Below are 12,048 nucleotides of genomic sequence, written 5' to 3'. Positions count from 1 at the left end.
AGGTGTTGGCAAAAAACAGAATTACAACAAAATTATTAGAATCTATGCTTTCCATATAATGGTGGGGGATGTTGCAGGGGTGCTGCTATCAATATCTTAAATAGAACAAATTAATATTCAATGACTAAAATAGAACAAATTTAGACTCTACTTTAGGTCACCTGTAAACTTGAGCAAGTCAGTTAACCCGTCCTGTTCCCTTAGACGCAAAATAGGATTTCAGCTAGATTATCTCTAATGTACATTCTGTTGAAAAATATTATTCATGCCTGTAATCCCAGCACTTTGGAAGGCCAAGGTAGGAGGATCACTTGAGCCTAGAAGTTTTGAAACCAGCCTGGGAAACATAGGAAGACTCTGTCTCTACAGAAAATTTTAAAATCAGCCAGTTGAGCATACCTATAGCCCCAGCTGCTCAGGAGGCTGGGGTGGGAGGATCACTTGAGTCTGGGAGGTCAAGGTTGCTGTGAGTCATGATCCTATCACTGCACTCCAGCCTGAGCAACAGAGTAAGACCTTGTCTCAGAAAAAAATAGTACTGTAGATATAACCATGATCATAATACCTTGATTTTGTATGGATCTTTGATACTCACAGAGCACTTTCTTTACTTTAATGTAGCTTATTTAGTGGTTGAGAACATAGGTTCTGGAGGCAGACTGCCTGTCTGGAACTTCTGGTTCCACCACCTACTGTGTGGCCTACAGCAAAGTATTAACCTCTCTGTGCCTTGGTTTCCTCATCTGTAAGTGACAATAATAATTCCTTCCTCATAGGATTGATATGAGGATTAAATGAATTGTCGCATACAATGAGCTTAGAACAATGCATGGTATATCACAACTGCTCAATAAATATAAATGTTAATTGTATTTATTTAAAAACTTAATATGTGAGTTGGTGCTTTCTTTTAATTTTTCATTTGATTTACCTCTTTTGCTTTTTTCTTATACATCTTTTTTACTCCATTTAATCTCTTGTGAAATAATTTAATATGGTCAACAAATTTGAATTTGTGATGGCCAACTTAAGGGCATCCTTTAGTTGTGTGCTGAGATACTGTTTAAAGCTGATACTCATTGAGATGTCATTTGAAACTATTCTTTTCTCCCACTTGTACCAGTCATATGTCTCCAAGTGTCTTAAGTAGTTTATTTTGCTCATAAATAGAATCCATCCAATAGTTCAACTTATTTATGGAACCCACCGACTCTTCCATGAAGGTAAGATGGCTAAGCACCTATAAAGTGACATTTAAGGGTCACTAAGAAGCTGCCTATTTCAAATAGGTCCCACTAACCACCTCATCCTTCTATCGGCATCAGTGTTTCTTTCTCTTCCTATTTTGTCTGAAACAAACACTGTGACTGCTTTGGTGACTAAGGTATAACTTACTGCTTTGGGGCAATAGGGAAGGTACTGCTTCTAGAAAGTACAAGCACTGTACACACAACATTTACTTTTCAAGGCATTTTAATGTGATTATTCTCATATGCACCTTCCAATGCACCTGAAGGACCAGGTAATCTTATCACAATCTACAGATGAGGAAACAGAGAAGCTGAGAGGTGGCCAAAATTACAAACATACTTATTGACTTGCTGAGCAATTAATAAGTGCTCAGCTTGGTCTTCTTTGGGGGCTTAAAATAGAAGACCTACATTTAGAGGAGTTTACAATTTAACTTTCTTTTTTTCCCTTGGAGGTTAGGAATTGTGTTTAAAATTTCTAGATTTCTAGATTAGCTGTTGCCTTGAAAAACAGAGAGAACCTACGACAGAGAACAAGAAACCAAAAACAGCTGAGTTTCAGAAAGAAAGTGAAATGGAAGAAGATACCAGTACATGATTCAAATGATCGAAACAGCCAACAGTGATGGTCTTTAGTAATGCAGAACTAAGATGAAAAAGCAGCTGAGGAAAAATGGGCCCTGAATGCAGGGTTAGATTCCCGATAATTCACTGAAAATAAGTAAAACCAACAGTGGTCAGTTTGTCCTGGGACCAGCCCTAGATCTCACACAGCCCATGATATTATAAAGACAAGGATCTCTAGATGCTGAATTACACATAGCAACTGGAACTTCCTCATTCTGAGTGGAGGATCAGATGAGGGCGTATTCATCATCAGGAAAACTGCTCCCTGATATTGTCATAAAGTCGTGTGAGATTTTATTTATTTATTTTTTACAGTTTCAGGGCTGCAAAAGCTATGAAGACATTTTAGTTCCACTCTCTTTCAAAAATTAGCAATTTATATTGCACCCTTATTTACCATTTGATTTATTTTCTCTGGCTTTCCTGCCTCATCTCGCTCCAGATCCTCTTGAGCACCTGCTTCACATCACACATTATTTCTCAAGAATATCTTGTTTAGTGCATGTCCTGCCTAGCAGTCATTTCCCCTAATTACTAATGCTGGTAATCAGCACCTGGCCATCACCTGAGACTTCCATCTCCCCATCTGTGTAGTGTAGGTATGCCTAGGCCACCACTGGCTACATTGGGTATGTGATCCAAGTTCATGCTGCTAAACTGGAGCTTGAGAAATGGAGAGAATTAGGGATCCTTCATTGGGCAGTGGTGTCCTGAAAGCATTTCCCACTAGTTGTTGTCTCTAGATCCCTGAAACTGTCCTTCCCAAGACCCAGCCTCTCATCTTTTCTTAGATTCTGTAAGTAGTTCTGTCTTCTCCTACCAATAAATTCCCATTTCCCTTTGTGCTAGCCAGGATCAATTTCTATAGCTTACATCCAAGAATTCATAACTGATACAGTGCTTCAGACACATCAGAGCAAAAAAAAATTGCTTTCCCTGTAACCATTAAGCTTTAATATGTTTAAAAATCCAAGACCTTTTGCTATGTTGAGAGACAATATGTCATATAATGAGTAAGAAGCATGCGCCCTTCCTGGTTTGAATCCAAGTTTCATCCCTCACTGTCAGTTGAGGGCACATAACCTCTCTGGTCCTCAGTTTTTCCCTCTGATAATAATAGTTTCTACCTCATTGAAGTCTTAAAGGTCTAAATGATCTAATAGGATCTTTGTATGTATTTAGTACAGCTAGTACAGAATCTAGGACTTAATAAGCTCTCAATAAGAGCATCCATTATATTTCTTGCTCTCCATATCCAGTAAGTTCATATTAAATCAGGATGAATAGGCTAAGCGTTCAGAATTTGAATAATTTCCTTTCAAGCCACTACACCAACATATTGTGTGATTTCTGTGTTGCCTCCATCTTTTTGCTATAAAATGAAGTAGAACAGATGGATTGTGAGATAATGAGTGTATAAAGCACTATGAAATCCTTAGATAAAAGGGGCCCCTGAGCATCATTATCACATGACAAGAAATCGACTGTTACTTTAGGTCAGGTTTTATATTTTTAATATATTTTAAACGCATTTCTGGGTCAACATGTGAGATGAGGAAAACAAGTGGTGTTTGAACAGAAGCTCATGAACAGTGGTATAATTACTTCCTGACCTGCACTGCCTTACTGTAGTCAACTGACTGCACAAAGAGTTTGAAAAACAAAAATCCTAATTTTTCTGAGGTTTACAATTTTTGGGACCTAGTTCTGATAAATAAGGCCATGCCAAGTCTACTTCTGTGACTTGGATAGGCTCAAGCACTTGTAAGTAAATCATAGAACATTCAGCTATTCATTTTTTAATAAACATCAAGCCAGAATCAGTATCCTTTCTCAATAGAGCTGTTTTTAGAGTATCTCAAAATTCCTTGATACTTCCAAGGACACCAACATCATCTAATTTGTGAATTGCAAAGATTATCTCCCTTTCAGTCATTACGGGGAATATAATAAAAATAACCATAATTATGCCCAATGAATGATAGACAATTCCATGGGTAGCATGGTTTGGAATTGAACCTGGATTTTAGTTGTCTCTGGCACTCATTAGCTATGTGACTTTGACAAATTACTTACATTATTTTTTTTAGTTAAACAAGATAACACATAATTTATAAGCTACTGTGTGAAAAACATCTAACCCAATATCTAGCACATAATACATATTTCTTCTCCTTAGGGCCCTGAGATAAAAGATTCTATAACCTTGGTGCAATCCTAGAGCCCTCAGGTTTTCAGGTTATTCTCTTGAGGGTTAAACTGAGTTTATAAGAACATAGGAGAGTGGTAATTTTCCTATCTGCTCCTGAGATCTCCAACGGAATTAACAGGAACTCCTGAAACTGTTTTCTTTCTCAAATTACCCACATAGGAAGTCTATATAGTAATGAGAAATAATGGGACTGAAAACGGGACCCAGGTAAACTTCTATTCCTAAATCTGCTATCAACATCTGCCGGCCAGGACGCAAGCAAACTCACAGCTTTCTGGTGCCCCCTGGAGGCTACCAACACTGTGCCTCATAATGCAAGGAACTTGTCTCTAAGGGCAAAAAAGGGAAATTCGGTCTCACTCCTACACATGTTAAAGTAAAAAAAAATAAAAAATAAAAAAATATAAAAAAATAGGAAACTTCACTACACTAAGCATTTGAAATATATTGACATTTGTAATTTTTACTACAGTCTATAAGATTGTTAAAATTATCATACCCATTTCTAGATGAAGAAGGCCAAAACCCAGAGAGGTTTACTAAGTTCACAGTGTCCCACAGTTAAATGAGTAATAGAGCTAGAATTCAAACCCAAATAGCCTGATCTAAAGCTAGACATATTAGCCATTATTTTATACCTTTAATATGGACATAGTAACCATTACTTTATAACCTTATACTTTTTACGTAGTCTTTGGATACTTTGGTTTGTATCTAAAGACTAAGTGCTAATACCTTGGAAAGTCACAAAAATATAAGGATTGGCCTATGCTTTTTACCAAAGTGTTAAACGTGTTGAAATTTCTCAGCATATTCCATGTATATAATAAATTAGGTACTAATTTTTGTTTCTTTTATTTCTGGCATATCATGTTCTGTGTATTTTTTCCCATAAAAACTAAGTAAAACAAAACAAAACAAAAAATTTTCTCAAGCTTTTGTCGTCTGATACTAAATTCATTTTTATTTTCTCATATAGAGTAGTTATCTTTATTTCTATGCTCATTAACATTCTATGTCTGAATCCTTTAGAAGAAATAATAACAAATATTGCAGACAAGGTCATAAAAATGATATTCCAGAGAAAGGCAAATCAAAACCACAATGAGACATCACTTCAAATGCGTCAGCATGGCTACTATTAAAAAAAGAGAAAATAACAAGTGTTGGTGAGGATGTGGAGAAATCGGAATCCTTATGCACTGCAGGTGGGATGTAAAGTGACATACCTGCTATGAAAAACAATTTGTCAGTTCCTCAAAAATTAAAAAATAGAAATACCATATGATCTAGCAACTCCACTTCTGGGTATATATATCCAAAAGAATTGAAAACAGGAACACAAACATATATGTATACCCATATGCATAGCAACATTATTCACAATAGCCAAAAGGTGAAAGCAACCCATATCCTTTGATGGGTGAATGGATAAACAAAATGTGGTTTATGTATACAAATGTATACACACATACATACACACACTGAAATATTATTAAGCCTTGCAAATTAAGGAAATTCTAACACATGCTACAACATGCATAAACCCTTAAAGACATTATGCTAAGTGAAATAAGCCAGTCACAAAAAGACAAATACTGTATGATTCTTCAAGTAAGGGTACTTGGAGTACTCAAATTCATACAGAAAGTAGAATGTTAGTTGCCCAGGGTTGGGCACAGAGAAAAATGGAGAATTATTGTATAATGGATACAGAGTTTCAATTGTATAAGATGAAAAATTCTGGAGAGGGATGGTGATGATGGCTGTACAACAATGTCATTGTATTTAATGCCTTTGAACTATACATTTAAAAATAGAATGGTAAATTTTATGTTATATATTTTACCATAATATTTTAAAATAAATTAATTAAGAAGACTGTTTTTTATCTTTTAAGTTCAGGGGTACATGTGCAGGTTTGTTTTATAGGTAAACTTGTATCCTGGGGGTTTGTTGTACAGATTATTTCATCACCCATGTATTTAGCCTACTACCCTTAGTTTTTTTCCTGATCCTCTCCCTCCTCCCACCCTCCACCCGCTGATAGAACCCAGTGTCTGTTGTTCCCCTTTGTGTCTATGTGCCCTCATCATTTAGCTCCCACTTATAAGCAAGAACATGGGTAATTTGGTTTCCTGTTTCTACATTAGTTTGTTAAGGATAATAGCCTCCAGCTTCAGCCATGTCCCTGCAAAGGACATGGTCTTTCTTTTTTATGGCTGCAGAGTATTCCATAGTATATATGTACCACATTTTCTTTACCCAGTCTATCATTGATGGACATTTAAGTTGATTCCATGTCTTTGCTATTGTGAATAGTGCTGCAGTGGGCATATGTGTTCATGTGTCTTTACAACAGAACAAATTATATTCCTTTGGGTATATACCTAGTAATGGGATTGCTGGGTCAAATGGTATTTCTGTCTTTAGGTCTTTGAGGTCATTGCCACACTGTCTTCCACATTGGCTTAACTAATTTACACTCCCACTAACAGTGTATAAGCGTTCCTTTTTCTCCACAACCTCACCAGCACCAGTTATTTTTTGACTTTTTAATAATAGCCACTCTGACCCTTAGATAGTATCTCATTGTGGTTTTGATTTGCATTTCTCTAATGATCAGTGATGTTGAGCTTTTTTTCATTGATTGTTGGCTGCATGTGTGTTTTCTTTTGAAAAGTGTCTGTTCATGTTCTTTGCCTACTTTTTCAGGGAGTTGTTTATTTTTTTCTTGTAAATTTGTTTGAGTTTCTTATAGATGCTGGATATTAGACCCTTGTCTGATATATAGTTTGCAAAAATTGTCTGCTATTCTGCAAGTTGCCTGTTTACTCTGTTGATACCTTCTTTTGCTGTGCAGAAGTTCTTAAGTTTAATTAGATCCCATTTGTCAATTTTTGTTTTGTTGCAATTGCTTTTGGCATCTTCGTCATGAGATCTTTGCCCATGCCTATGTCCTGAATGGTATTTCCTAAGTTATCTTCCAGGGTTTGTATGGTTTTGGGTTTTACATTTAAGTCTTTAATCCATCTTGAGTTAATTTTTGTACATGGTATAAGGAAGGGGTCAAGTTTAAATCTTCTGCATATGGCTAGCCAGTTATCCCAGCACCATTTATTGAACAGGGAATCCTTTCACCGTTGCTTGTTTTTGTCAGGTTTGTTGAAGATCAAATAGTTGCAGCATGTGGTGTTATTTCTGGGTTTTCTATTAACTGTAGTTAATACCACAATGGGCAATAGATCTCTTGAACTTATTCCTCCTACCTAACTGAAATTTTGTGTCCTTTGACAAACAGCTCCCCAGTACCCCTCCCCTCCAGCGTAAAAATGTTCACAATAACATTTTTAGGTAATCACCATTTTACTCTCTGTTTCAATGAGTTAGACTTTTTAATACTCTACATGTAAGTAAGTATTCAGCTTTCTGCATCCAGCTTATTTCAATCAACCTAATATCCTCCTAATTCATCCATGTTGTCACAAATGACAGGATTTTCTTCTTTTTAAAGGCTGAATAGTATTCCATTGTGCATATATACCACATTTTCTTATCCATTCACCTATTAATAAACACTTAGGTTGATACCATATTTTGCCTATTGTGACTAATCCTGCAATAAACATGGGAGTGCAGATATCACTTCAATATACTGATTTCATATTCTTTGAACATATACCCAGCAATGAGATTGTTAGATAATATGGTAGCTCTATTTTTAATTTTTAAAGGAACCTTCATACTATTTTCTGTAACGGCTGTGCTACTTTATATTCCCACCAACAGTATGCAAGTGTTCCCTTTTCTCCACATCCTTACCAATACTTTCTATCTTTTGTCTTTTATGTTTGTTTGTTTTCAAGAGACAAGGTCTCATTCCATGGCCCAGGTTGGAGTACAGTGGCATGATTATGGCTCACTGCAGCCTTGAACTCCTAGGCCCAAGCAATCCTCCTGCCTCAGCCTCCCAAGTAGCTAGGACTACAGGCACATGCCACGATGCCTAGGTAATTCTTTTGTCTTTTTGATAATAACCATTCTAACAGGTATGATGTAATATCTCATTGTTTTAATTTGCATTTCCCTGATGATTAGTAATGTTGAGCATTTTTTTCATATACTTGTTGGTCTTTCATATGTCTTTCTTTGAGAAATTTCTATTCAGGTGCTTAGCCCATTTTTTAATTGGATTTTTCATTTTCTTGCTATTGATCTGTTTGAGTTCCTTATATATTTTGGATATTAACCCCTTAACGGATTTATCGTTTACAAATATTTTTTCCCATTCTGTAAGTTCTCTCTTCACTCTGTTGATTGTTTCCTTTGCTGCACAGAAGATTTTTTGGTTTGATGCAACCCCCAACAGTCTATTTTTGCTTTTGTTATCTGTGCAAACATGTTACATGTTAGGGATCATATCCAAAAAAAATCTGTCTAGACCAAGGTCATGGAGCTTTTCCCCTATGTTTACTTCTAATAGCTTTACAGTTTCAGGTCTTACATTTAAATCCTTAATCTGTTTTGAGCTGATTTTTGCATATGGTGTGAGATAAGGATCTAGTTTCATTCTTCTGCATGTGGATATCTAGTTTTCCTCGGACTGTTTATTGAATAAACTGTTCTTTCCCCATTGTGTGTTCTTGGCATCTTTGTCAAAAATCAATTGACCATAAATGCATGGATTTATTTCTAGGCTCTCTATTCAGTTCCATTAATCTGTGTCTGCTTTTATGTCAGTACCATGCTGTGTTAATTATTATAACTTTAATTATCTATTTTTGTGAAACACAATCTTATGGTTTAAAACCACATGATTTGTTATTTCTTATGATCCTGTGAGTCAAGAATTTGCATGGCTCACCTGGCTTGTTCTGCATGACATGATGTCAGCTACTGAACCTGCATTTATCTGGAATCTGGACTGGGGCTGACATCTGAGATGCTCTTCCACCCCTAGCATTTCTCTCCTTGTAGCCACTAATCATTTATTAGTCCAGCCTATACTTCCTTATAGCATGGTGGCAGGGATCCAAAGGAAAAAAAAGCGGAGGTTGCCAGAACTCTTAAGAACTTGTCTTAGAAGTCCTAGAATATTATTATTTTCAGCACATCTTATTTGTAAGACTCAAGGGGAGAAAAAGTAGACTCAGCTTCTTGATGTGAGGGGCAACATACAAGAGTGGGGGAATTGCCAGCAGCTATATTTGGAGATTTTCTACCACAATAACATTTTTAGGAGATTATTTTATTTAAATTTTTTTTATTATTTTAGATTCAGGGAATACTTGTACAGATTTGTTACATGGGTATATTGTATGATGCTGAGGTTTGAGCTCCTAATGATCCCATTGCCCAAGCAATGAACATGATACCTGATAGATAGTTTTTCAAGCCTTTTCTCCCTCTCTCCTTTCCCCCTTCTGGGATCCCTGGTGTCTATTGTTTTTACCTTTGTGTTCATGTGTACCCAATGTTTAGCTCCCACTTAGAAGTGAAAATATGTAGTATTTAGTCTTCTGTTTCTGCATCAATTTACTCAGAATAACTGCCTCCAGCTGCATCGATGCTGCTGCAAAGTACATGACTTTGTTCTTTTTTATGGCTGCATAGTATTTCATGGTGTCATATGTACCACATTTTCTTTATCCATTTCATCATTGATGGACACCTGGGTTGATTCCATGTCTTTGCTATTATGAATAGTGCTGTGATAAATATGCAAATACATGTGTCTTTTTGGTAGAACAATTTATTATCTTTGGGTATATACCCAGTAATGGGATTGCTGAGTCAAATGGTAATTCTCTTTTTATTTCCTTGAGAAATCTCCAAACTATTTTCCACAGGGGCTGAACTAATTTACATTCCCACCAACAGTGTATAAGTGTTCTCTTTTCTCTGCAACATTGCTAACACCCGTTATCATTATTATTATTTTTTTTTACTTTTTAATATAAGCCATTCTAACTTGTGTGAGGTAGTATCTCATTGTGGCTTTTATTTGTATCTCTCTCATGATTAGTGATGGTCTCTATTTTTTTCATATTTCTTGGCCACTTATATGTCTGCTTTTGAAAAATATCTGTTCATGTCCTTTGCCCACTTTTTAATAGGGTTGTTTGTTTCTTGTTGATTTGTTTAAGTTCCTTATAGATTCTTGATATTAGGCTTTTTTTTTTTTTTTTTTTTGAGACTGAATCTCACTCTGTCACCCAGGCTGGAGTGTAGTGGAGCTATCTTGGCTCACTGCAACCTCCGCCTCCCAGGTTCGAGCAATTCGCCTGCTTTAGCCTCCTGAGCAGCTGGTATTACAGGCGGGCGCCACCACACCTGGCTAATTCTTTTGTATTTTGAGTAGAAATGGGGTTTCACCATGTTGGCCAGGCTGGTCTCAAATTCCTGAACTCAGGTGATCCTCCTGCCTCGGCCTCTCTAAGTGCTGGGATCACAGGCATGAGCCACCATGCCCAGCCTTGGATATTAGACTTTGTGGGGTGCATACTTCGTAAATATTTTTTTTCCGATTCTGTAGGTTGTCTGTCTATGCTATTGATAATTTCATTTGCTGTGCAGAAGCTCTTTAGTTTAATTAGATCCCAATTTTCAATTTTTGTTTTTGTTGCATTTGCTTTTGAGGACTTAGTCAAAAATTTTTTGCCTAGGCCAGTGTCTAGAAGAGTATTTCCTACTTCCTACTTTTTTCTAGAATTTTTACAGTTTTAGGTTTTATATTTAAATCTTTATTCCAGCTCGGGTTAATTTTTTTTTATACAGTGATAGGTAGAGGTCCAGTTTCATTCTTCTGCATACAGTTAGCTGGTTTTCCCACCACCATTTATTGAATAGAATATCCTTTCCCCATTGTTTATTTTTGTCAACTTTGTCAAAGATCAGTTGGTTGTAGGAATGCAGCTTTATTTCAGTGATCTCGACTCTGTTCCATTGTTTTATGTGTCTATTTTTGTGCCAGTGCCATGTTGTTTTGGTTACTGTAGCCTTGTAGTATGATTTGAAGTCAGGTAGAGTGATGTCTCCAGCTTTGTTGTGTTTGTTTAGGATTGCCTTGGCTATTTGGGCTCTTTTGGGGTTCCATATGAATTTTAGAATAGTTTTTTCTAAAAATGACTTTGGTAATATGTTGGGGATAGCACCAAATTCATAAATTGCTTTGGGTAGTATAGACATTTTAAAAATATTGATTATTCTAATCCATAAGCATGGGATTTTTTCTATTTGTTTGTGTTGCCTATGATTTCTTTCAGCAGTGTTTTGTAGTTCTACTTGTAGAAATCTTTCACCTCCTTGATTAGATGTATTCCTAGGTATTTTATTTTTTGTTAATTGGGATTACAATTTTGATTTGGCTGTCAGCTTGAATGTTATTGATGTATAGAAATGCTACTGATTTTTGTATGTTGATTTTTGTAGTCTAAGACTTTACTGAAGTCATTTATCAGGTCTAGGAGTCCTTTGGTGAAATCTTCAGGTTTTCTAGGTATAGAATTATATCATCAGCAAAGAGATAATTTGACTTCCTATTTTCCTATTTGGATGCCTTTCATTTCTTTCTCTTACCTGATTGCTCTGGCTAGGACTTCCAGTACCATATTCAATAGAAGAAGTAAGAGTGGACATCCTTGTCTTGTTCTTAGGTGGAATTCTTCCAAATTGTATTTGTTCAGTATGATGTTGGCTATGGGTTTGTCATAGATGGCTTTTACTATTTTGAGTTATGTTTCATCAATGTTCAGTTTGAGGGTTTTACCATGAAGGGATGTTGGAGTTTACTGAATGTTTTTCTGCGTCTATTGAAATAATCATACAGTTTTTGTTTTTTATTCTGTTTATGTGGTTTATCATATTTATTGATTTGCACATGTTGACCTATCCTTGCATCCCACTAATAAAGCTCACTTGATCGTTTCACCACGATGAATTAACTTTTTGATGTGCGAA

Source organism: Homo sapiens, chromosome 2 (genome assembly GCF_000001405.40).
Source record: "Homo sapiens chromosome 2, GRCh38.p14 Primary Assembly".
In the NCBI taxonomy this organism is placed as follows: Eukaryota; Metazoa; Chordata; class Mammalia; order Primates; family Hominidae; genus Homo; species Homo sapiens.
Note: the sequence above shows the minus strand (reverse complement) of the source record.